Genomic DNA, 27,780 nt, shown 5'->3' on the forward strand with positions numbered 1-27,780 from the left:
TAGGTGTATTTGTCAATGGGTAGATGTGTATATTTGTTGTTGGGTAAAACATGTTCTTTTCATAGTTGGTTAACTGAAATAACAATTGCAACCTCTGGCTTCTGGCAGTCCCTTAATCTAGACCCCAAAAACAGGAAAACTTAAAATTAAAAAAAAAAAAAAGATGCTTCAGATGAAGTTACACCTAGAAGGGGAATTATCCCTGGGCCTGTATCACTGGGAGGTCTCCTGACTATTGATAGCAATCCAGCACCTATTTTTGAGCACCTACAGTTTATGGCAAAAACAAAAACAAAAACATATATATGTGTGTGTCAGACTCCCGAGATGTAGAGGTCTCAAGAGATCAAAGTCTGTAGGGGAAACAGAAAAGTGAATTACAGGTCTGTGAAAGAGCTGAGCAGAAAAGCCTGAGACCTGCTCAGAGGAAGACAGGCTCCCAGGGAAGAACACATGTGTTAGACAGAGCTTCAAGGGAAGATGAGGATTAGCAAGGGAGGTAGTGGAGCTCAGGGTTTCCAAAGAAAGCACAGGACACAGGCATGGCCATGTGAGACAGCGTGGCATGGAAGGAGGGAGACAGCCCACATGGGTTGGAGTAAATGGCTTTGCAGGAAAATTGGGGGGGGCGGGGGCGGTGGTGAGGTGAGAACGATTGGGTGCTAGACAGAAATGAGTCTTATATCCTATGCCCAGGAGTGACTGGGGACTCCTGAAACTTTTTTGCATGGAAATAACAAAAGTGACTAAATAGAAAACAATGGAGAATGTATTTCCTGAGAAAGATCCATCAGAAAGCAATGCCTAGTTGGAATCTCAGAAGTTCCCTAAAGACAGCAGGAGTAAGGTTTTAGTCACCCTCCTTTAATGGGTCATCTATTCCCTGTGCTCAGAAACAGAAAAGGCAGAGAGGCAAGAGGGAATGAGCAGAGATCCCACATTGGGCACCACCAGCAATGGAGCTGCAAACACAGGCAGAGCCCCCAAGGAAGGAGCTGTGTTCACAGAACCATGCAGGCACCGGCCTGTGATCCCATCTGCTGCAGTGATGAGCATGTGCTTCACCCCAAAACTCTCAAGGAAGGTGACAATCTCACAAGCAACCATGCATCACCAACTGGTAATGGTTCTCAAGAAGGTAAGCCTGTGTGTGTGTGTGTGTGTGTGTGTGCACATGTGCACGTGTATGCATACATGTGCCTGTGTGCATGTGTATTCTGCCTAACTGCCCTAACTAGAACATCCAATACAATGATGAACAGAAGTGGTGAGAATGAACATCCTTGTTTTTCCTCATCTTGGGGAAAGCACCCAGCCGAAAACCATTAAGACTGCTGCTAGTCACAGGGTTCACAGGTGGCTTTATTAGGTTAAGGAAGCCCCCTTCCATTTGCTGCTGTTGCTGTTGCTAAGTGTTTGTATCACGGATGGTTGTTACATTTTGTCAAATCATTTTCCTGTGTATGTGATATGATTGTGTGGTTTTGTTTTGCTGATGTGATGCATTACATGTGCTAATTTGCATTTGTTAAACCAACCTTGCATTCCGGGGACGAATCCCACTTGCTGATGGTGTGTAATCCTTTTCATAGATTGCTAGATTTTATTTGCTAGTAATTTGTTGGAGATTTTTGTATTTCTATTCACAGAAAACATTGGTCTTGGTTTTCTAATTTTTTTGATGTTTTTAATCTGGTTTTGGACTCAGGGTAATACTCATCTCACAGAGTGATGTATTCTCTCCTCTTCTATCTATTGGAAGAGTTTGTGAAGAATTCATATTAATTCCCTTTTAAGAGTCTGGTAGGAATAACCAGTGAAGCCATCTTATCCTTGGCTTTTCTTTGTGGGAAGTTTTTTTTATTATTATTACTAAGTTAATCTCTTTACTTGTTATAGATCTAGTTCAATGTTCTACTTATTCTTGAATCAATTTCAGTAACTCATGTCTTTCTAGGAATTTGTCCATTTAATCTAAATTATCTAATTTATTGTAATATAGTAGTTAAAATATTCATTTATAATTTTTAAAATCTCTATAAAGTTGGTGGTAATGGTCTCTCTTTTGTTCCTGATTTTAGTAATTTGAGTCTTCTCTTTTTTTTTCTTGGTCAGCTCTAGCTCTTATTCTTTGCTTCCCTGCTTTAGGAATTTCATATATTCAACATCTGGATATACTAATTTGTTAGCTAGGTAAAACATGAACTTATTTATACTTAAGAACATGTTAGTATGAAAAATACCTATGGATATCTATTAAATTCTTCTGTGAATTATTTAAGGTATAATTTTACAAAAAAAAAAACTTGTCTAGAAAATAAAATACCAAATCATTCAAAGGCAAACTTCTAATACTACAAGGCTACCATGGCATAGTGCAAAAACAGCACCAATCCAGGATTCAAGAAGACCTCTATGATGCTAGCTCTGCTATGAACAAGCACGTAATTTTCAATTAGTCACTTATTTTCTTTTGGCTAAAAATGGAATCAGGTGGTCTTTAGGGCCCATCTGGTATGAAGATCCTTTCATTGTTTGATACCTAACAGTAGAGTAAACAACTACATTTAGATCACCTAAGAAGCATCAGAGCACCTAAGGAACATCAGATAAAAATCTATTCAGATCCAAATAATAAATACAGCTTGCTTGACATGTCAGGGCCGATTTTCCCTTTCCACAGTTTTACGACTCAAAACTGTATTAGATTTTCTTGGATCTGACAATCAAAAGGTATTGGAGCCACACAGGAATACCATGAAGGATTTCAAACTCAAATTCAGCAACGAGGAAAAAATAGGTTAACCTATTATAAGTCCTTTTTTCTTTCTTTCTTTTATAATCTAACATAAATCATGAAAATCCAAAGGCAAAATTAAAAGGCAATAAAATATGTTCCAGTAGTTCACCTTATCCTGGGAAGGGCTTACTAACTGTTGCCCAGATGTACTTAATGCAGCTTAAAACGACCATGTCGTTTAACTTAACCATGTGCATCTGCCTGTCCAAGACCACCCCAGCTTAGGAAAGCTCCACTTTCATAAAGTATGTGGACCACAGAACTTGGTAAGTCAGACAAGAGCAACAAAGGAGGTTCAAGATGAAGGTTAGAGAGTACAGGTTTCTCACCAGATCTGTACACACTGTAAATGATAAACAAGAGCAATTATTGTTTAGCTCTGACACCCAGTGTATTCACTTCAGAGTAATGTTTCCAGCAGAAAATACCAGGGCCAATCCACTGTTCCAGACTTTGTCTCCATTAAATCCAATACTGTTCCCACATACTTTAATTTAAAGGAATTAAAACCAATAACTACACACAAGGCTGAGAGATCACTTTACAGAAGCAAATCCAGAAGTTGCCAGCATGCCTGTAAGATTTCATTTCTGGAAAGCATTAAATTATCCTCTGTGCCAACAGAAAAAAATAGGCTCAAAAGGAATAAAAATGAAGTACTGGGCTAATAGTTCAAAAAAGCATAAGGTTTTCTGCGGTTTATAACTTGAGGACTTTTTCCTTTTAAGATTCCCTTCAGGTAGAGCTTTCAAAAATACAATCATAAGCCTTATATAAGGACCACATCTGATATGAGCCTTGCATAACAGCAAGGACACCCCACTTTCCTCAAGTTCAGTCCATGTGCATCACCAGAGCTACACTTTCACTCCACCAGCTACAGTGAAGTCATTAAATATTTGCAAGGCCACATTTTCCAAATTAGGTCCATTATTTTTATGAACCTCAATTCTAACAAATGCTGTAATAATCCTAAGTTTATTTCTAGATGTCTGAATCTCCCACTTAAAGTGCAGAACTAATGAAACTGGTCTTATTCTGACACGGATTGCTTATAAATGAAACAAAAAAACTACAAAAGAAAACCATGGCTCTGCCAACCCTTGCACAAATGTGTGATCATGCTCACTCACACAACAAATATTCACCAAATGCTCTTTAAGCCAAGAAGTTTTCTAGGCTCTGGGATTAGGCAGCTGGGCTCACAAAAGTGATCAGATGTTAAGTCAGACACAAACCAGAAATCTCACCTAGGACCCAGCTTTTCCAATCATTAGAGGGATACAGCCACCAAGAGGCACAAGAAAAGCAGGAAGAGGTTAAGACATCGTGTGTGGGTCTCCAGGTCTTCCCTTCCCTCTTAGTCTCTGGGTAAGGTACGTGGTTTAGTTCACATAGGGACAGGGATGTAGGTTATGAAACATCTCCATTTAATACTTCAAATAGCTGTCTGGTTCTCTACAGAGCCATGACTCATGGATCCATAGACCACAAATTTATTTACCATGCAATCCTAACCCAGAGAAATCCTGCTAAAACCAGAACATAGATAAGGGCTCTTTTCATAGCAAACATCATGACTCTATTTACCAGGAGGCCTATTATCCTCATATAACAGAGACGCGTGTAGGTCACCTGTCTTCTTTCTTTTTCTTCAAGTGCCCCTTGGTATTCCTAGTGGTTGAGAGGGAGGAATCGCAGGCCAGCTGCCTCCCAGACATTATACAATACAGGCAAGATCTCTCTTCTTACGTAGCTTATGCTCTTCAGGGAGGAGCATCCAATAAGGAAATATATGAATAGACAAGACAATTTTAGAGATTTGTGTGCTGTGATGAACATAGAATAGGGTGATGTGATAGGGAATGAGTAAGAGGGCTGCTTTAAATTGGGTGGTCAGAGAAGGACTCTCTGAAGGTATGATTTAGGACCTGAGATCTGAAAGACAAGAAGTCATTCATAAGAAAATCTCTGCAAAACCATCCTAGTCAGGAAGAATAGCACATGCCAAACTCCCAAAGTGGAAGAGCTTGGTGTAAAATAGAAATGATTGAGAAGCAGAAAAATTGCCTACAATGTTGGAGAGTATCAGATGGGGGAGAGTGGATGGAGGGTGGAATGTGAGCAAGGACCAGATGATGGGAGGTCACTGATGTGATGGGCGTGGGCTTCGATCTTATTCTGGGTAGAATGAACCACCATGGGGGTAGTGCCAGAAGAATCACTTGATCTGACCTGTGTCTTAGGCCATCTGGCTGTGGGTGTAGAAGAGGCAGTAATGGACATGGGGGGAAGCCAGAGTATTCTGAAGCAGCCCAGCTGTTAAGAGACGGTGGTCTGGACAAAAGCCGGGGGAAATGGCAAGAAATAGAAGGGTTTGGGTTATGTATTAAAGTAATGACCAGGAGTGTGAAAATCATATCTCAATAAAGTTGTTTAAAAATATATGGCCAAGAGTCCCTGATTTTTGTAGATATCACTATATATTGAAGCATTTACAGACAAAATGATGGGATGCCAAAGATTTTCTTCAAAATAAATTGGGTGTGTATGTGTGGTGGGGGTGGGGAGAGATGGAGCAAGATAAGCCGTGAGCTGACAACTGGGGCAGCTAGGCTAGCCACAGTTGGGTGTGTGGAAATTATATTAACATTGAATATATGTTTAAAATTTCCATAATAAAGTGTTCAAATTTGAACATTAAGTCTGGCAGGATCCTGATGGTCACAGGGTGGTGAAACACCTTGTGTGTAGTTTAGTCAATCACTAACCTTACACACATTCTCTGTAACATCTCCAGATGATCCTTCAGTCTGCTTAGAGTAGCATGAAACTTCTTTTCAACAGCCTGTACTCTTATGTCATTTAATCTGAAGAAAGTGCTTTGTCACACTGAGCGAAAATCAATCTCTCTGAAACTTCCAACCGTGCGACATAGTTCAATAACATGGAAGCAAAGCAAATGGTTGGACTCCTCCCATAAGGTCACTCTTAAGAACGGATATCCCACCTTTCACAAGCTAAAATGAAATTCTTTAAGTCACTCCTGAAACCAGAAATAGATATTTTCCTTCGAAATAGTTATTTTCCTACTCTTCCTCTCCTTTTTTTCATTCCAGGAAAACTCATCTCCCTCTAGGACCTTGCAATTTCAGTTAAGGTCTCCCTTTTCACTGGTTTATTTATATAGGCCTGCAACATAGTCAAGCCTCCACATACTGGAATACACACACACACACACACACACACACACACACAAACACACTTATATATATATATGTGCATGTATATATACAAACACTAACCATATGCAGTAATATGAAGATTTTTTGTTCTTCAGTACACATAGTAAATGACATTTTGTAATCATGACATTACTCCTATGATACAATCCCATGAAATACACACATTACAGACTACCAAATAAATGTGTAGGCCATATAGTTTCTCGCACTTACCCTGTTCTATCTTAATTAAGGAAACATAGCTCAGCATAAGAAAGATTTTATTTTGAAGACAAATTTGAATCTCCTCTAATTTATTAGAATGAGTTGACATTCTAGTCCCTTATCATTAATAAGCAATAGCTTAGGGTGTAATTCACAACTGGGTGGATGCACACTGTCCTTTCATGGTTTACATGCCTTCCATTTTGTACTAACAGTGTACAAAGCTTTGGAGTTGTTTCCGTCGCACAGCCCCCTGGTCTTCTGACAGCCTCACCACAGTGTCCCAGTCCCTTCTGTCCACTGCCTATAAGAACTGGACCTCCACATCCTTCATTGAGGGATCTCCCCCATCGCCCCAACCCGCTGGGAAGCAACTTGGCCATCACTTGTCCACAGTTAATTGGACAAAGGATAAGCAACTGACCCAGCCAAAATATTCCATTTCATGTTGACAGGAAATAGTGATTCCAGATAAAGCTCTGGCAGTCAGCCGTCTCTGTCAGTGTTTCATTTTGCCTACTGCCCCAAATGCCTCACTTCCTTCTTGCTCCGTGTATCATGTTAGACATCCACCACCATCCCTTACTTAAAAAAAACAAAACAAAACTTATCAAATAACATGATTCACATCTGAATCTAAGCAGTTCAGAGAACTTATACCCCAAATCAACAGTCTTTCATCCCAGCCCTCCCCACTCACAAGCCTGTTCCAAGGAGGCAATGTCAGTGCTAAGACTGACGATGCTGGGTGCTGTTCCTGATCAAAACCAGTTTGTGTCCTGTCCACAGGTGGGGGTGAAGGAATTTAAAACCCCCAGCTTGTGTCTGCTGGCTCCCTCCTGTGAAAGAAGAGAGGTTACCTCAGCCACAGTAAGCCCTGGGAAACACAATAACCCCTGTGGACTTCACATTCCCAGGGCTATACAATGATATTATGATTCTTACTATTTTCTTCTGTTAACCTACATAGACTCCTCTCTCTGAAAAATGAGTCCATCAGCAATGCTACCTCCCGACATCAGGCCTACCCACCTTCACTTCTCACATTTTAACCAAATTTTAACCAAATTTTGAATGGCCATAGCCGTTAACATTTAGGTGGTTTTCTATAGCTACAACCAGGTTTTCTATCCTTTCCTATGGATGGTATAAAGAAATTCAAAATCATTAATCATAATTTTCTTTCTTTTGCTTGTGTAAAATTATTCATCATGCAGTCAAGAACATACTAGGATTGCTGTTCCTTCTCTATGGCCCCTAGAATGACTATTTAGGTAACAAAAGCAAAACATTCCTCACACCCAACTGAAATGCACTCTTGCCCCACACCACATAACTTGCTTATGATCACGATGCTTAAAATTATATTGACTTCTTTCACATTGAAATCATATATTCTTTTGTTTTCTTAAACTTATTTTTCTTTCATTTATTAATGAAAAATACTTCTGTCATATCTGGAAGATTTTCTATCTTCTCAGTATTGCTCTTATTGAATAGAATCTTTTTTTTTTTTTCTTTAGAGGGAGTCTGGCTCTGTCACCCAGGCTGGAGTGCAGTGGCGAGATCTCGGCTCACTGCAAACTCTGCCTCCCGAGTTCAAGCAATTCTCCTGCCTCAGCCTCCTGAGTAGCTGGGATTACAGGCAGACGCCACCATGCCCAGCTAATTTTTGTATTTTTAGTAGAGACAGGGTTTCACCATTTTTTGGTCAGGCTAGTCTCAAACTCCTGACCTCATGATCCTCCCACCTTGGCCTCCCAAAGTGCTGGTATTACAGGCATGAGACACCGCGCCTGGCCTGAATAGAATCTCTTTTTACCCCGAGATCTTCTCAAAATTTTCTGTCCACCTGCATGAACCTGGACCTGGTATTTTCTAACCCTGAGACATAGCTGAGGCCTGAGATTTCCCTCCATCACTCTCCTGGGTTAGATTAGTTATTTCCTGGATTCTGTGCCTTCTCTGTTCTCAGAACCCTCATTTTATTGGTGTATCTGCTCAAGTAAACTCTCCAGGGGGAGTGCCTTGGACATGAACACCATTTCTCTGCATCACTGAAGAAATCTTTATTCTAGCCTTCAATTTAATTGGTTGTTTTCTATCTGAAATAAGCCTCCCTCGGAATTTACAATAAATTGCAAGGTGAACAAGGAAAAGCAGACTCAAATAAAAATGTAATAAGGACCATTAAGGAAAGGCAAGAAAAAAAAAAACCCTAAAATAGAAATGAGGTTAAAAAGACATAAAAAGGACAAGGAAAACAGTAAAATGAATGACAGGCCAAGAAGAAATAACATACACAAAACCAGAGTCTCTGAAGAAAGTAAAAATAAACAGTAGAACAAACCAATATTTAAAACTATAAGAAAAACTTCCAGATTCATAAAAAAGGACACAAATCTATATCCTGACCCACAACGATCTACTCTGAGCTGTGTATCAGTGAAACAATCAGACTTCATTGATAATTCTCTATGGGGATCAATGAGCTGCAGAGGAATCTGACTGCATCAAGCACAGCACACAGCACAGGGCAGCACCGCTGTCAGACATGTCAATAAGAAAACGTGTGCTGAGAATTGCAGAACCAGCCAGCCTGGCCTTCAGGCACGAGGCCATAGAAAAGTAGCTTTAACCTGCAGGAACTTGGGTGTTCTCTAACCACGAACTCTTTTTGAGAGATCTAATAGAAGAAAAGCTTGGTCTAACTGACAGATGACTAGAAAATTTTCAGCAAAAGGACTGATGGTCCCGGTAACCCCTACAAGTTGCAACCATAAGCAAATCTGGTAAACGGAAAAGAAAAAAGTACTTAATGAATTTTATACTCTATCCAAGAAGTAGGCATAAGTTAAGCAAAATATCTTGAGACTTAAAAAATTCTAATGTAATAAATAATGATGATAAATCTTAACATGGTCACTTAATAAAGATTAATTATTTTCTTAATGAATGACTATTTCTAGGTGTTCTCCTCCTCTAGACAAATAGGGAACAAAATTTTATATTAAGGGAACAATTTCATGATTTCTGAAGACAAACTGTTGTTACATAGGTCCACTGCTCCTGCTTCAAACTCTTCATAGGAAAGGGGTATAGATTTTAGACATTTGCAGAAATCCTGAGGATGACACTTTCATACTATACTGTCTAGCTCATAATTTATTTTTAAAGGTGAGTTTAAGGAGGTAAAAATGTATATGCAAAAATGCCGAATTTTATCAACGAATCATCAGATTGGTAGTTAAAAGTTTAATGATAAATAGGATATTTATATCAAAGTATGTAGCCAAAAACCACTTATTAATTTTATAAAGAAAAATATTGACTTTATAATAGGGAAATCTGATAAGCAGTATCTTAGCCAGTTATTAAATTAAACAAAGTAATTGCAACAAACCAACATCATTTAACTACTGATAAAAGTACAACTTTGTTTCTGTGGCATTCCTGACCAAAAAAATATCTAATTATAAGAAAATATCAAAAAAGTCAAATGAGGAAATTTTACAAAGGAATTGACTTGTACTTTTTTAAAATGTCAAGGTCAAGAAAGACAGAAAGGCTTAGAATTTATTCCAAGAGACTAAGACAAAATAACTAAATGAAATGCATCATCCTGAAGAGGAAAATGGTGACAAAGCATTTTTAAATGTTAAAATTGGAAGTGAACTGTAGAGTAGATAAATAGATAATAGTCTTGTATTAATGTTACATTTCCTGACTTCGGTAATTGTCCTCTATTTATGTAAGGGGATGTCCCAGGTCTTAGGGAATGCATACTAAAGTGTTTAGGCATAAAGGGAATCATATTTCAACTAACTCTCAAGCAGTTTGGAAACTAAATTTATAATATATACACAATCTAATAAAAATATTATGCAAGCCATATGTATAATCTTAAATTTTCCAGTAGCCATATTTTAAATAAAGTAATTTAATTTTGATATTTGAGTTAATTCATTACATGAAAATATTTCAATACATAATCAAGATAAAAGTTATTATTGAGAAAACGTATCTTTTGTACTATGGCTTCAAAATCTCAAATGTATTTTAGACTTACAGAGCATCTCAGCATGGACTAACCAGAGTGAAGGTGCTAATCAGCTACATGTAAGAAGAATGAGAAGGAAGGAATATGAATAAATAATAAATCAATAAAGAAAATGGGAAATGTGTAAATAAAACAATTATTTAATCTGGGTAAAATATATAGTATTTTACATATTCGTTTTATATCTTTTCTATAAGTTTCAAATAATATCAAAAACTTTTAAAAAGTTAAGCAAAAAATAAGAAAATGCAATGAACAACTTTACACCAATAAATCTGAACACTCAGCACATAGGCAAAGTTCTAGAGAAATGTCATACCAAAGTGAGTACAAGGAACTATTTAAAGCCAGAATAATCCCATCATAGGACAACAGTTCTTAAACATTTTGGTCTTAATACCCCCTTCATACTCTTAAAAGTTATTGAGGATTCCAAAGGGCTTTTACTCATGTGGGTCTTTTCTACCAATATTTAGCAAATTAGAAATTGAAAATGAAAAGTTTTAAAAATATGTATTTATTTAAATTCATAATAATAAATCCATTACCTTTTAACATAACTTATTTTATAAGGTAATTATATTTTCCTAAACAAAAACAAATTTGGTGAGATGAATGGCATGATTTTATATTTTTTCAGCATTTAGTCTGTTGCAATCTGTTGTTTGGGTTGAAGATATGAGGTTGGGAAAGGAAGAAGTATTTTTAATAGTCATTTCAGATAATTTGAATATTCTTTTTTAATACTACTTCAAAACATGATGAGTATATATTTCCTAAAGGTTATGTGAGTTGTGAAACTTGAAACCTTGTCAATAAATTGCATTTTGAAGCATTAAAATCTACTGGTGTATCTTCCACTTTGAACAGATTTTTACCAATGCATGATTTTGTAACAACATGCATTAATCATATAGAAAACATCAGTTCACTGAGTCATGCAGATTTCAAATATTGACATATTACATTATACAATATCAAAACATCACAGTTGACCACATCAACAAGCTAAAGAAGAAAAATTATATATAACAATTGTTGCAGAAAAGTATTTGGAAAAGGCAACACATATTTATGATAAACTCAGCAATTCAGGAAGAGAGGAACATTGCCTTGATAAACAGCATCAAGAAAACACAACTAACATCACACTTAATGGTGATGATTGGATGCTCTCCCCCTAAGTCTGGGGATAATGAAAAGATGTCTACTCTCACACTCTCAGTCCACATAGTGCTCTAAGGTATAGCGACTGAGATAGGCAAGAGTAGGACAGATTTGGGGAAGGAAATAAACTGTCCCTATTTGCAGATGACATGCTTATTTACAGAGAAAATCCCAAGAAATTTATTAAAAAAAAACTCTTAGAACTAATAAGTAAATTCATCAAAGTTGCAAGATATAATATCATCACATAAAATCAGTCTCATTTCTTTTCCTTTTTTTTTTTTTTGTTTGTTTGTTTGTTTGAGATGGAGTCTCGCTCTGTCACCCAGGCTGGAGTGTAGTGGCGCCATCTTGGCTCACTGCAACCTCCACCTCCCAGGTTCAAGCAATCCTCTTACCTCAGCCTTCCAAGTAGCTGGGACCACAGGCACCACCACGCCCAGCTAATTTTTGTATTTTTATTAGAGTTGGGGTTTCCCCATGTTGGCCGAGCTGGTCTCAAACACCTGGCCTCAAGTGAGCCACCTGCTTTGGCCTCCCAAAGTGCTGGGATTACAGGTGTGAGCCACTGCACTCAGCCCAAATCAGTCTCATTTCTATATACTAAAAATGATCATGTGGAAACCAACTTTTAAAACACAGTATTATTTACATTCATTCTAAAGAAAATTATATACCTAGGTATAACTTTTTTGAAAAGTCTATAGTATATGCATGCTGACCATTACAAAATGTTGACAAAAGAAATCAAATATCAAAATAAATGGAAATACAAACCATGTTCCATGTACTGGAAGACTCAACATAGTAAAAATGTAAATTCTCCCCTAGATTTATCTATAGGGTTAATGCAATTTTTATCAAAATTCCAAAAAGAATTTTTGTAGACACAGACAAGCTTATTCTAATATTTATCTGGAATGGCATAAGCCCTACAATAGCTAAAACTTGACAAACAAGAATAAAATGAGAGGAATTACTCTATCTCACAGTATAGCTTACTTTACAGCCACACTAATCAAGACAGTATGGTATTGGTGAAGAGACAAAGACAGAGCAATGAAACAGGATAGAGAATGAAGAAACAGACCTACACAAATATGCCCAACCAATATTTGATAAAGGTGTAAAACAAATTATAAAACTTTTAGAAAAACACATAAGAAAACATCCATGGGATCAAGGGTTAGGCAGAGTTTTTATACTTTGCACCAAAGAAGAATCTATAAAAGGAAAAGTTGATAAATTATACCTCATCCAGCCAAGCCTGGTGGCTCACACCTGTAATCCTAGCACTTTGGGAGGCCAAAGCGGGTGGATCACTTGAGCCCAGGAGTTTGAGGTGGTGAGACCCCATCTCTACGTAAAAATACAAAAATTAGTGCAGCGTGGTGGTGCCTATAGTCCCAGCTACTCAGGAGGCTAAGGTCAGAGGATCACTTGAGTCTGGGAGGCAGAGACTGCAGTGAGCTGAGATTGTGCCACTGCGCTCCAGCCTTGGTGACAGAGTGAGACCCTGTCTCCAAAAAATAAAAAACTTCTGCTCTGTGAAAGACCCTGTCAAGAGGATAAAAAGGTGAAAAGGCAAGTTACAGAATTGGAGAAAATATTTTCAAGATAGATATCTGACAAAACACTAGTATCTAGACTACATACTTTCTATATATGCACACATACATATAAATTTTATGATACATAGTAATTATATATACATACATATAACGTGACTCTCAAAACTCAACAGGAAAACAACAAAGAGTACAATTAGAAAAAGAGAAGAAAAAAAGAAAAAGGGTAAGCGATATGAACAGATATTCTATAAGCCACCAAGAGGCTTACACAGATGACAAATAAGCACATTAAAGATGCTCAGCCTCGCCGGCCATTAAGGAAAACACAGATCAAAGCCGCAATGCAGTATCTATCAGACACACTTATCTCTGTGGCTCAAATAGAAAACAGTGACAACATCAAATGCTGGCAAGGACACGAAGAAATGAATCACTCACACACACTGCTGGTGGGAATGTAAGAGGGTATGGTCACTCTGAACACAACTCAGTGTTTCCAATAAAAGGAAACAAGCAACTGCCCAGCAACCCAGCAACTGCATACCTAATTTGCCCCAGAGGAAAGACAACTTCTTTTCACACAAAACCTGTGTACAGCAGCGTTCACGGCAGCTCTGTGACAGCCACTCTGCTGGGCTGCAGGGACCTGGGCTCCAGCTCCCACAGGAAGCTGGTACACTGTCAGCCTCCACGTGCACTCCCTTCTGCTTCCCTTTTGAGTCTTCCTGGGCCCTCAGGAGCTCAGGGAGAGCCGTGGGGACACTGAGGATAGGGCAGATGTGTATCCACAGTCTCCTCAGACTTGCCTGGCCGCAGATTCTAAACCACTGAAGCCACCCTCTTCGTGCCACTGAGCACACCTGAGGCCGTCTCTTCTCCAGTTTCCAGATGAGAAATAGGGCACAAATCCCTTCTATCCCCAGACCCTCAAACCCATCATGGAAGGGTTCCACAGCTCAAGCAAAGCTTAGCATGGATGCAATGGTCAAGGAGCTACCACAAAATGAGAATAATTTTATGAAAGAACTTTCTATGTAAAATCTCCAGCTGTCTGGCCATGTTTCTAATCAACAATAACTGTACTAGGGGCGCTGGCTTACGTAAAACTCAAACTACTGGCGAGATCTCACAGGGCCTCCTTAGTTTGTTAGAGACAGTTTTTACTTACAATCGAGCTCTTGACTATGTTCTCACAAGTGAAAGTGGGGAGATAGCCAAGAAAAAAAGGGACAGGACACAAATTACTAATATGAGAAATGAAAGAGGGGACACCACAAGTACAGATCTTATAATATAAAAAAGATAAAAAAAGAATTCTATAAACAACTTTATGCCCATAAATATGATAACCTAAACAAAATGGACCAATTCTTTGAAAGACACAATATGCCAAAACTCACACAAGAAGAAACAATCTAAATAAGACTATATCCAAAATTGAATCAATAATTAATAACTTCTCAAACCAGAAATCACTAGGCCCAGATGGGTTCACTGGTGAATTATACCAGATATTTAAATAAGAAATGAATCCAATTCTCTATAATCTCCTTTAAAGGATAGAAACAGAAAGAATGCTTCCAAACTCATTCTATGAGGCCAGCATTACTCTAACAAAAAAACCAAGGACAGTAAAAAACAACAAAAAAAAGACAACTAGAGACTAATATTTCTCATGTAGACAGATGCAAAAATCCTCAATAAAATATTAATAAGTTGAATCCAACAATGTACGAAAGAAATTATACACCTTGACCAGGTGGGATTTATCCCAGGTATGCAAGGCTGATTCAACATTTAAAAATCAATTAATGTAATCTATCCCATCAATAGGCTAAAAAATATCAATAGATACTGAAAATCATTTGACAAAATACCACATCCATTCATAATAAAAATTCTCAGTAAACTAAGAACAGAGAACTTCTTCAACTTCATAAAGAATATCTACCAAAAACCTACATCTAACATCACACTTAATGGTGAGAAATTTAAAGCTTTCCCACTAAGATCAGGAACAAAGCAAGGATATCCCCTTTCACTGCTGCTTTTCAACATTATACTGGAATTCCTAGCTAATGCAATAAGACAAGAAAAGGAAATAAAAGGTATACAGATTGGTAAAGAAGAAACAAAACTGACTTTGTAGATGACATGATTGTCTACATAGAACATTTGAAAGAATTTACCAAAAAAAAAAAACCTTCTGGAACAAACAGTGATTTTAGCAGGATTGCAGAATTCAAGGTCAATATACAAAAGTTAATCACTTTCAAGGTTAATACATAAAAGTTAATCACTTTCCTATATACCAACAATGAACAAGTGGAATTTGAAATTAAAAACACAATATCATTTACATTAGCAACCCAAAAATGAAACAGGTATAAATCTATCAAAATAAGTACAAGGTCTATATGAGGAAAATGACAAAACTCTAATGAAGGATATCAAAGAAGAACTAAATAAATGGAGAGCTATTCCATGTCCATGGATAGGAAGACAATACTGTCCAGGTGTCGGTTCTTCCCAATTCGATCTACACATTCAGTGCAACCCCAATCAAAAGTGCAGCTAATTATTTTGTGTATATCAACAAAATGATTCTGAAATTTACATAGAAAGGCAAAAAAACTATAATAAACAATAATTTATTGTATTTTTTAAACAGCTAGAAGAGAGGATTCTGAATTTTACCAACACCAAGAAATAATAAAGGTTTGAAGTGACTGATATGTGAATTACCCTGATTTGATCATTATAAAGTGTATACATGTATTGAAACATCACACTGTATGTATGAAAAGCAAAAGACCTTTCATATATACATAGAAATATTTCATATTTCATATACTGAGAAGAGCCAACTCAGTATTGAAAGAGAAGAACAAAGTTGAAGGGGTAACAGTTCCCTACTTCAAGACTTACTATGAATCTATAGTAATCAAGACAGTGCTGTGTTGGAAAAAGAAGAGACAAACAGAACAATGGAACAGAATAGAGAGCCCAGAAATAGACCCACATAAATACAGCCAACAGATCTTTGACAGAGGAGCAAAGACAATACAATGAAGAAAATAGTCTTTAACAAATGGTGCTATAGAACAACTGGACATTCACATGCAAAAAAACAAATGAATCTGGACATAGACCTTACACCCTTCACACAAAAGTTAACTCATAACTGATCACAAACCTAACTGCAAAATGCAAAGCTATATAATTCCTAGAAGATAACATAGAAGAAAACCTAGATGACCTTGGGTATGGCAATGAATTTTTAGATACAACAAAAAAAGCATGATCTATGAAAGAATAACTGAAAATCAGGACTTCACTGGAATTAAAAACTTCTCTGAAATGGATAATGTCAAGTGAATGAGAAGATAAGCCACAAACCGGGAGAAAATAAACGCAAAAGACAAATCCGATAAAGAACTGCTATCTAATATATACAAAAGAAAATAACCCGATAAAAAATTGGGCCAAAGATGTCAACAGATGCCTCACCAAAGAGGGACATACCGATGGCAAATAAGCATATAAAAATACTCCACATCACATCATCAGGAAAATGCACATTTAAACAACAATGAGATTATTTGCACACCTATGAGAATGGCTAAAGTCCAGAACATGGAAAACACCAAATGCTGGTGAGGATGTGGAGCAACAGGAACTCCCATTCATTGCTGGTGGGAGTGCAAAATGGTGCAGCCTTTTTGGAAGACAATTTGGCAGTTTCCCACAGAACTAAACATACACTTACCATATGATTCAGAAACTGTACTCCTTGGTATTTACCAAAATAAGCTGAAAATTGTTCATCACACAAAAATTGCACATGGATGTTTACAGCAGCTTTATTCATAATTGCAAAATATGAAAGCTACAAAGACGTGCTTCAGTAGGTGAACTGATAAATAAAACTGTGGTGCATCCAGATGACAGAGTGTGATCCAGCACTAAAAAGAAGTGAGCAAGCAAGCCATGAAAAGACACAGAGGAAGCTTAAACACATGCTATGCAGAGAAAGATGCCAATCTGAATAGGCTGCATGCTGTGTGATTCCAACTCTATGATCTCCTGGAAAAGGCAACACTATGGAGACAGTAAAGAAACCAGTGGTTGACAGGAGTTAGGAAGGAGAGAGGGATGAATAGGCAGATTCTTAAGGCAGTGGAACTACAGTATGTAGAGAACATACACTATGATGCTGTCATGGTGGATGATGCCATTATAGGCCTGTCAGAACCCATAGAAGGCACACCACCAAGAGTGAATGCTGATAAACTGTGGACTTTGGTGATGATGATGTGTCAATGTAGGTTCATCAACAATGGTAACAGTAACAAACGTACCACTCTGGTGGAAGATAGGGACAGGGGGCCAGGAGGCACAAGGGAAATCTCCATACTTTCCTCACAATTTTGCTGTGAACCTAAAACTGCTCTTTAAAAAGAATTTGTTTAAGTAAACTTTCAGAAAAGCTGCACATATCGTTATAAGAGTGTTCAGTTACTTTGTATGTTTCTAAAATAACACATCTAGCATCAACAAGAAGGTTAATGAGGCCAGGAACTGCTGTCCACTGAGTACATGAAATGGTAGTCTAGGCTACTGGGCCCACAGATCCAGTTAATGCTTGTGTGTCATTCTGAGTTATTTTTATTGTTATTGTATTTTATATTATTTATTTATTTATTTATTTTGAGATAGGGTATCACTCTGTCACCCAGGCTGGAGTGCAGTGGCACAATCTCGGCTCATTGCAACCTCCACCTCCTGGGTTCAAGCAATTCTCCTGCCTCAGCCACCTGAGTAGCTAGGACTACAGGCATGTGCCACCATACTCAGGCTAGTTTTTGTATTTTTAGTAGAGATGAGGTTTCACCATGATTTCCAGGCTGGTCTTGAACTGCTAACCTCAAGTGATCCACTCGCCTCAGCCTCCCAAAGTGCTGGGATTACAGGTGTGAGCCACCACACCTGGCCTTATTTTATTTTTGAGACAGGGTCTTTCTCTGTTGCCCAGGCTGGAGTGCAGTGACTCAATCACAGCTCACTGCAGCCTTGACCTCCTGGGCTCAAGCAATCCTCCCACCTCAGCATCCCAAGTAGCTGAGACCACAGGCATGCGCCACCACGCCTGGTTAACTTTTGTATGTTTTGTAGAGACGGGGTCTCACTATGTTGCCCAAGCTGGTCTTGAACTCCTGGACTGAAGCAATCTGCCTACCTCGGCCTCTCAAAGTGGAGGGTTTACAGGTGTCAGCCACCGCACCTGGACATTTTGAGTTATTTTTATGTGGGCATAGATTAAAATAAATAAAGAACATAAACTCTTCTAAGGAAAAATAAATGAGGAAAAATACTATAAAATTCCAAAGGCGTTTGAGCTGGCATGTCCATTCATGCTATTTTGGAAAGGTGAATGAGTCCCCACTTTATAAATACAAATCATACTTCAGTTGGATGAAACTACTACAGTAAACAAACTGATTTCTACCACCCCTACAGCTAATGAACTGGGACTCATAAGGCTCCAATCACTTCGCTAAGTAATTTAGACACAGAGAGACCCCACGCTCACCCTCACTGGGCCCCCTTATCTGGGTTACGTTTTTCACAGAACTTACCACTATCTCTCCTGATTTACTCCAGGCACCTCCTAGTTGGTCTCCTGTGTCCAACCTCTTCCTCTAGTTTTTTCTCAACATAACAACCTGAGTGACTCTGTTAAAACAAGAGGAGGATCCAGTACTTTAGGAGGCCAAGGTGGATGGATTACCTGAGGTCACGAGTTCGAGACCAGCCTGGCCAACATGGTGAAACCCTGTCTCTACTAAAAATACAAAAAAATTAGCTGGGCATGGTGGTGGGTGCCTGTAATCCCAGCTACTCAGGAGGCTGAGGCAGGAGAATCACTTGAACCCAGGAGGTGGAGGTTGGAGTGAGCTGAGATTGCGCCATTGCACTCCAGCCTGGGCAATAAGAGCGAGACTCCATCTCAAAAAAAAAAAAAAAAAAGAAAAAGAAAAGAAAAGAAAAAACGTGTCTTATTAGCAGCCAGAGAGTAAAGACGATTCTGGCTTTGAAGGCCAGGTCGCTTGCGTCATAACCACGCAACTCCGCTGCTGCTATTCTGAACGCAGTCACAGTCGACACTTACATGAATGCCTGCGTACTGATAAAACTTTATTTACAAAAACAGGGTCATCTGCAAACCCCTGTCTTAGAAGTCAGATTTTTCTCAGTGATCTACTCAATACCCTCCCGTGGGTTCCGTCCCACGCAGAGAAGCCGCATACAAAGAAAGGCAACAGGGGTCTGGGCCCCACTGCCCCCAGTCACTCAGGAGGTCTCCCTCTCACTTGCTGCTCCAGTGTCCGTCCTGCTGACCCAAGCATCCAGGCTCCATCCTGCTCGGGCCTGTGTTCTCATCGTCCCACCACCCGGCAGTCATGCAGCCCACCCCGACCACACATGCAGAGTCGCTGTCCCCACCTGCACAAGCTGCCCCCCACTTCCTTCCGTTTAGCCATAGAACCCGTGGCCTTTTAATAAGCACGTAGATGACCACTCATGTTATTATTGTTCGTCTCCCCCACTGCACAAACACAAACACGCTGAAACGCCAGCTCCACGAGGACTTTCAGCCTGTTCCCGCTGCAGCCCTCACTCCCAGAGCAACAGCTGAACGCAGAGGGCATGGAATACAGCTGTGTTGGACAAATGATATATATTTAACAGCCGTACACCCTGCAGTAGCTCCCTCATAAACTTTCTTGAATTAATTTAATAATATTTCACTGATGAAACTAGCAATAAAAGAGGTGAAATCACTTGTTCAAGGTCATATAGCCAGAAAGAGGTAAAGGCAAGATTCATGCCAGGTTCCACTGAAGAAAGTGCTTGCTCTAAATTGATCAACTGCCTCCCTGGAACCTAATTTATTGTGATGTAATTATCCCTCACTATCTTCTAATATCTAATGTTTAAACATTGTTAGTGGAATTTTGTATTACCATATATGTAAAAATGAATTGTATTTTCATGCATGTTGTCTGTAACTGAGGATTTTTAACTGTTTTAAAAGACTCTCTCTCAGTTGAGGCTAAAATAATCATCCTTCATGACGTCCTCATTGCATGAACTTGAGAGTTCCGCAGCAGCAGATGTCATTTTAAAAGGCAGCTAAGCGCGGCTCGCACGCGCTCTGTGTGCTGTTTGGGGAGGGCCTGCCCGGTGTGTGTGTGTGTGTGTGTGTGTGTGTGTGTGTGTGTGTGTGTGTGTGTGTGTATGCAGGGAGGTGGGGAGGGCCTGGAGGGCCTGTGTGTGTGTGTGTGTGTGTGTGTGTGTGTGTGTGTATGCAGGGAGGTGGGGAGGGCCTGGGCGGGGACGCCATCAGAGAGACCAGAGCACTGTGGGACAGCAGCATCCACAGGGACTGCGGGTGCTCAGGGAATGTTTTCAGGCAGCACCAGAGTCCTGGCTGTCCCGATGTGGCCCCTGCTCTAGGGAGCCGCCGACCTCTCACTCCCAGCCCGGCCCAGCAACGTCTCCCTGCCCATCCGCAAGCCATTCTTTCCGGTTTAGTACACAGGTCAGGAGGAAGACATGGTACCATTTTTATCTTTAGAAAAGAAGAGCAATATAAAATATTCTCTGCCAAATTTTCATTGAATCTTTATGACACATCTTAGAATATAAATTAGAAATGGAGTGCCACAAAAGTGTCATAAAATGGAAAGGCCAAAACACACAGATCAGCTGTTCTATAGTAGGAGGATTTCTGGTCTTGGATGCAGGATTTCTGCTTCAGAACCTTCTCTGTCATTTAGTAACTTAGTGGCCAGGGGTCAACCTCAAGCGCTTTAAATCTCAGGCTCCTTTCTATATAAGGGAATGATAACACCTTCTTTTAAGGCCTGCTTTGAAGGCTAAATTGATATTTTTATGTGAACATTACGACCTGCTAGAAGAGCATAACATGCTTAAGGAGATACTTAAGGTTCTCTTCTCCCAGAACAAACTGAAAATACTCCCACAAATGGGGACGTTACCGTTCACATGTTCATAATATATTGTGTTCCAAAGCCCTGGAACCCTCCAGATGTTCTGAAGAGGCAGAATGGAGTGAGAGAAAGAATGCTGGCTGAGAGCAGAAGACCTGATTTTACTCTAAAGTTTGCCACAAATTAGGTCTATGACATCTTACAATTCCTAAATTCTCTAAATGGCAGATTTTTGATCTTTAAAATGAAATTATTCTTTGTAATCTTTTAAGTCACTTTTTTTAGTGTGCTATTGTTCTAGTTCTGCTACAATTTCGCATGGACAGACAAGCTGACAAAGTCCTGATTACCTGAGGAAACGAAGTAATAACCAAGTGGAATAAGGCAACTCAAGAAACCCAACAGCAAAGGGCAGAGCTGAGGCTAGAAGCGGGTGGTCATGCCCGGGTTCTAGTTCATGCCCAGTTCATGCCCAGCCCATGCTCCCTTCAGCCTCAGGGGCTGGAAGGACTCAGCGGCTGGGTGGGACGGGGCTGCAGTCGGGCACAAGTGCCTACCACGCTCTAAGGGAAAGGTTGATGGTGAATGCAGGAAGACGGGACCCATCAGCAGAGGCAAGTCCTCTGACCAAGAAAATACGAGCAAAGCTGCCCCTGTCGGTGCTTTGCAAGCAAATCACAGATGTGCTACGATTCATGGCCCTGCTTGTCAACTCCAGTACTCTTTATATAAATCATTGCTGGCGAAATACAATTTTAGATATTAAAATAGCCTGAAGTATAACCAAATCAAAATATTGAAGTAGGGTGCATCCTTAAAAATATAAGCATTTCTGCATTCCAGATCCCAAACTTTCGGAGCTGCAAAGCAAACACTGTTCCCGTGTGGCTTCTGTGCCACCCGGTTCTTCTGCGTTTCAGCTCAAGCAATGACTGCACCACCACCCTCTGTGCTGGTCAACCACCACCATGTGCAACCGTAAAAGGGGATTCGCTGTACTTTCCCCACGAGTGCATTAGTAACCTCCTAGGTTACATTACAGCCTACTTTTATGCATAAAACTCGCTTGGCTTCTGGTGATTTATCATTTTAAATGTTTTAAAAGTAAATTGACTACATACATTTTGTTTTCTAGAATTCTGTGTGGTAGATGTATATTTTTGCCTCCACGATGACATAAATACTCTTGGATGAAAAATACTGTACTTTCTAGGCAATATTAACATAAGTAAAGTTGTTAGAAATAACTAGTTATAACATAAGAACATGGATTGATTTATTTCACCAGCATTCACTGAGCATCTGATCTATACTGATGATTAGGCTGACTAACAAGAATAAAAATGAAAAACTATTCTTCCCTTGAATAACTAAAATTCCAGTGGCACACAGGATATATAAGTTGACGGTTTACAATGTGATGCCCGGGTCCTCTTCACATCAGCATCTAAAGCCTGCGATGGAGACACCAAGGTCTGACGTTAACTTCATTTCAGGGGATGTCTCAGAGAGGACAACATTTGAAGGAGGACGAAGGGCTAAGGAGGAGTCTGAAAAGAGCAAGTGGGAAAAACACATTCCAAGCAAAGAAGAGCAGACTGCTCCAGGCTGAGCTCATCCCCAGAGGAGGAGAGGGCTCTGGGGACCAGTGCACCAGAGAAGGATGGAAGGGAGACCAGGCGGAAAGGTAGACTTGGCAGCACGAGCTCAGCCTTGTTAGGACTCAATCCTACAGGCAGTGAAGAGGATGAAAAAACAATCATCATTTATATTTCTCACAAAAATTCTTAGGGGAAAAATAAAAATTGTAAATTAACACACCAAAACTATGGCCATATGACACATGAGGTCAATTACAATATAATTAACCAATCTTAAGTGAGTAATTTTCCAGAATAATATTAGTGAGCCTTCACTTTTGTAATGGAGCCCGTAAGATTACCAAACATTAGGAGAGACAATAATTTTCTTCACTAGGCAACTATATAACTAATAACAACCATACCACTGGAAGAATAAACCAAATTCACTTGAAATATCTTCTGAAATTACAATAAGATTATTAAGCAAGAGATTTAACTTGCAGAGATAATGAAGTTCCACCAAGAACACCAGTGAAATTTAGCGGGAAAAGGAAATTGTTTTTAACACGTGTTGCTGGAGCAAACCGATACTCATATAGGGAAAAATGACTCTTTACCTTACCTTTCTCCCCACCCAAAATCAGTTTGTGATGGAGGTAGAGGAGGGACCCATGCCCTCATGTGACCCCTGTCTGTGAGCATGGGAGGCGCCTGTGGCATATAACACAGCATGTGTGATGAACCAAGGCATGCCTGTGCACACAGTTGCATCCTGCTGGAGTCTCTCTCGCTTGCTGGCTGTGAGGAGGCATGTGGTTGTGCTGGGCTCCTACCTGTGAGGTAGGAGCCTTGGGGGCCTCAGGGAGCTGATGATGGCTTCCACCCTGTAGCCAGCAAGGAACTGAAGCCCTCAGTCCTGCAGTCACAAGGAATTAAAATCTGCCAAGTCCTTGGTGAGCTTGCAAGCAGATCTGTCCCCAGGGAAGCCTCAGAAGGTAACCAAGGCCCTGCCAACAGCTTGGTCTCAGCCTAGTGAGACCCTGGGCAGAGGACCCAGCTCCCCCGAACCCTGACTCGTGACCCACAGGAGCTGTGAGATAAAGAGGGTGTGGTTTCAAGCCACAGCAGTTTTGCTAATACTGTCATGTAGCAACGGGTTATAGATCCAAATGGAATAAAAAACCACAAACATCCTAGAAGGAAACACAGAAGAATATCTTCTCAGTCTCTGGGTTAGCAAAGGTTTCTTAGGCCACAGAAAGCATTAAGCAAATCTAATTTTAATTAAAAACTAGATTTCATAAAAATGTAAAATTTCTGTTCATTAAAGGATGCCATGATGACACCAATAAGCAACCCATAGATTAGGGGAAATACTGCAATACCTGTCTAGAGCTGAGAATACATTAAAAAAGAAAAGTTCTATAATTCAATAATTTAGAAAAGAACCCAATTAAAAATGGGCATATAAGTATATGGTAAAGTGCTCAACATCATTCATTACAAAAGAAATGCAAATTAAAACCACAATGAAAATACTACTCCGCAACCACCTCAAGGCTAAAATTAAAAAGACTAAAGAAACCACATGTAACTGAGATGATGGCACTGAGACTCTCATACCTTGCTGGGGAGTGTCAAGATGTACAACCCCATGCAAAACTGAGAGGCAGTTACGTTGCGGTTAAGCACACATCGCCCTCAGCAACTGCACTCGTGTCTCTCGCAAGAGAAACGAGAACATGTGTTCACACAAACAGCTGTACAAGAATTTTTATGGCAGCATTATTTGTAATCACCAAAAACTGGAAACATCAAAAGATCCCCAACTGAGGGCTGGGTAAACTGTGTTTCTCCCACACAGGGGAAAATGCCTCGGTGATATAAAGGAAGGAACCAGAATGCGTGCAACATTGTGGAGGATTTTCAAAATCATTACACAGAGGCCAAGCAGAGAAGAAAACTTGCCAAATGGCATTCATGTGACAACCCGGAACAGACAAAGCCAGTCTGTGATGGACACAAGAGCAGTTTCCACCTTGGAGAGTGGAAATGAGGACTGACTGGGGACGTGGGGAAGACCCTGAGGTGGGGGGTGCGGTGCAGGTGCACCTGTGATGCGGGACTGGGGCCTCTGGCTGTTCATTTGTTCATTGTAACCCCAGACAAAGAAAGGAGCCCTCACCCTACATGATTTAGAACATGTGCTTATTCAGTGCCTCTGCAGATGAACTGCCAATACTTTTATTTCTTTATCTTCAATCTTTCCTTTTCAATTCTTCTTCCAAAATTCTTTTATTTTGATTAAAAACATCAAAGTATAAGCTGGGCATGGTGGCCCACACCTGTGGTCCCAGACACTCAGGAGGCTGGGGTGGGAAGATTGCAGGAGCCCAAGAGTTGAGCTTGGGCAAGAGGGAGATGCTGTCTCTAACATTTTTTTCAATAAAAATAAAAACATCAAAGTATTTTTTAAAAACTTGCATTCCCCTCCACTTAATAAGTTATCAGGACAGAAGATTATCACTAAAATAAGAGACTGTCTTCATTGCCCTTTTCTATACTGTACACTGTTTTAGACTTGAAAAAACATATTGACTTGAATATAAAAATGGGATAATTTTTTATAGCAGCCTAAGTGTCTATAAAGCCCTCTTAACTTTATAGTGTTTCTATGATGGCTAAGAACTATGAGAGCATAAATCAGGTCACTATATTTCCCAACACTATCCACAAATTTCTGGGTTCAAACAAAAAGGTGTGCCCTGCATTTCATCAGAAATTGGTCTAAGTCCAATACTCCCTTTGACATTTCTATTTCCCACAAGCAGCGATGGCTTCTGCACATAAAAACTCCTCACTGAAGTGATCTTGTGTCAGAGTATGTTAATTACTGATTTTGATCATATTTGAATTTAGCCTCTTCTGATTGCTATTCTAACAGATCAGTTGATATTCTGGCCTCAGGAAGCATCAATTGAACAGGGCATGCTCAAGATATTACATTTAATTTTTAATAATTAGTAATATGTAATAATTCATGCTTAGAATATCATTGGCCAGGCTGGAAACAGAGCCAGGTGCACTGCTGGATTGCTGAGTTCGAGAATAAGCACCAGGCTCCCATCCCGGTGGAGTCCTTGCTGCTGGATGTGGGTCTTGCTGGTCAAATGAATGGAGACCCGGAGCACAGGCAGCCGAGGATTGGGCAGTCATCGGGATGGCGGCTCATCTGCAAATAGCCAGTGCACACCTCCAGGCAACAGGATGACGAGTCTCTGCAGTGTGCCCTGAGACCCTGCAGCTAAGTCCTGAGATGGAAAAGCCAAGCTTGCAGGCTCTTCCATGGACCACTGAAATAGAAAGTCTGGGATAAGGGCCCAGAGGTCTTCATTTTTTCGGAAACACTCCAGCAGATTTTTATGCAGTTCCATTCTGGATGCCATGATTTTCCAATTCAATTATTCGTCACTCCACGAAGATAAATGCAGAACTCATCCAGAGTCCATGAGCCATAAATCCACAGCATAGCAGGCTTCTCATTTTGACTACTGTTGGTGAGAGTAAGTTACTTACATTTGAATCCTGGAATAAACCAGCTATTACTGACTCAAATTCAGAATCTTTTGTTTTACACTGTAGATCATAATACATTGCACTTGGAAGTTACAGGCCTGACAGGCTTGGATCGTTTACAGTAAAAATAATAATATCCTACCAGTTCCGTAGTTCAGTTTCCTTCTCTTTCTGCTGAAGAAATTCCGTCGGCAACCACAAATCTTGAAGCCAATCCCTTATGTTCTCATTGTCTTAATTTATCATCTGGACAGCTCATCCCTGCATGGCAGTGAAAGATCAATACTATGTGGAGCACATTTTTTTGGCTCTTATATAAATCACTTGAATGTAAAGTAGGTAGCGTGGCAATGGCAAGCTGCCTACTTCTGTAGTCTGTACGGCAGCCTTTACATTCACGGTTTGGCTGTTGACTTTGCTAGAATCTGCAGAACATTTTCCAAATGGAAGGTAGTGTAGATTCCTTAGGCATGAAATTAACTTTAATGATGTGGGCATTGATGAGACAGTCAGGAAATATCTGGAAATGACACACTCTTCAGAACTATAAATTGTACATGAAAACACACATTTGAAACCACTCAGGGACTAAAAAAGAAAAAAACAAGCATTAATGCCACATTAGTAGAAATATAATATATGTTGCCTCTCACAGAAATAAGAAACTTTTTTGAAATGTTGATTTGGAACTGAGTTCTAGTCAATAAATTTGAGAAGGAAACCTTTCTCCAGTTCCCGAGTGTCCATAGTAAGAAAGACACGGCTTTCTGCTCTTGAATCTGCCCCGAAAGGCTCCGTACAGCTCACCCCGCTTTTCTTCAAGATGATTCCCAGTGCTTGCTGGTGGCAGCAGAACACACTCCTCTCTTCTGCCCTTATACAGCTCTGTGGTGCGTAGGTGGGCACCATGCCAAGAAGATGGAATCTGAAGTCAGATCAATGAGGTGCGAAGCCTTGCGTGTCCACTTACCCACTGTGTGCTTTTGTTCAGGCATTTTAACTTCTTTATGCCTCAGTTTCCTTACCTGCGATAGGAAGGTAATGAGGTATCCGCTTGTTAAGGCTGTGATGATTACATAAAGCACTTAAGGATGGTGACTGTGACACAGTAAGCACCTAATCAGTGCAAGTAAATGTTTAAATTGACCTCTGATATGGTTTGGCTGTGTCCCCACCCAAATCTCCACTTGAATCGTATCTCCCAGAATTCCCACAAGTTGTGGGAGGGACCCAGGGGAAGGTAACTGAATCACGGGAGCCTGTCTTTCCCGTGCTGTTCTCGTGATAGTGACTAAGTCTCACGAGATCTGATGGTTTTAGCAGGGATTTCTGCTTTTGCTTCTCTCTCATTCTCTCTTCCCTGCCACCATGTAAAAAGTGCCTTTTACCCTCCGCCATGTCTGGGAGGCCTCCCCAGCCATATGGAACCGCAAGTCAAATTAAACCTACTTTTCTCCCCAGTCTCAGGTATGTCTTTATCAGCAGCATAAAATGGACCAATACAACCTCAAACCATTTTGTCTTTGGCTACAAATAAGAAGTAAGGTGTGTGCACA

General features: G+C 39.8%; 1 protein-coding gene across 15 annotated transcripts in view, besides 3 other annotated features; it reads right to left on the bottom strand.

Moving 5' to 3' along the window:
• WDR27 (WD repeat domain 27) overlaps positions 1 to 27,780 on the bottom strand; it is a 275,610-nt gene that overhangs the window by 106,259 nt on the left and 141,571 nt on the right. Inside the window, exons 26-27 of one of the 15 annotated variants that reach the window (XR_007059230.1) lie at positions 26,367 to 27,249; positions 25,641 to 26,199 (exon numbers count right to left, since the gene is read on the bottom strand). The exons of 12 other annotated variants lie outside the window; for them this stretch is intronic. Coding sequence is in view for 2 of the 3 variants with exons in the window: in XM_011535682.4 (XP_011533984.1) it covers positions 27,100 to 27,249 (150 nt within the window). In the remaining variant the exon portion in view is untranslated. Of the gene's footprint in view, positions 1 to 18,361; positions 18,784 to 25,640; positions 27,250 to 27,780 lie in introns of those variants that run through there. 2 more of the 15 variants (XM_011535685.4, XM_011535682.4) reach the window with 2 other exon arrangements.
• Positions 19,978 to 20,946: an enhancer, noted in NCBI's record as "H3K4me1 hESC enhancer chr6:169952752-169953720 (GRCh37/hg19 assembly coordinates)". NCBI's record gives its function as "activates a minimal SCP1, AML or CMV promoter by ChIP-STARR-seq in naive H9 embryonic stem cells {active_cell/tissue: H9 hESC(naive)}" and the evidence as "EXISTENCE:reporter gene assay evidence [ECO:0000049][PMID:30033119]".
• Positions 23,604 to 23,764: a silencer, noted in NCBI's record as "fragment chr6:169956378-169956538 (GRCh37/hg19 assembly coordinates)". NCBI's record gives its function as "represses an EF-1alpha promoter that drives an FKBP-Casp9 reporter gene in an ReSE screen in HepG2 liver carcinoma cells {active_cell/tissue: HepG2}" and the evidence as "EXISTENCE:reporter gene assay evidence [ECO:0000049][PMID:32094911]".
• Positions 24,260 to 24,419: a silencer, noted in NCBI's record as "silent region_17795". NCBI's record gives its function as "represses an Ori minimal core promoter by ATAC-STARR-seq in GM12878 lymphoblastoid cells {active_cell/tissue: GM12878}" and the evidence as "EXISTENCE:reporter gene assay evidence [ECO:0000049][PMID:35858748]".

The sequence above is a fragment of the Homo sapiens genome, chromosome 6 (genome assembly GCF_000001405.40).
Source record: "Homo sapiens chromosome 6, GRCh38.p14 Primary Assembly".
Lineage (NCBI taxonomy): Eukaryota > Metazoa > Chordata > Mammalia > Primates > Hominidae > Homo > Homo sapiens.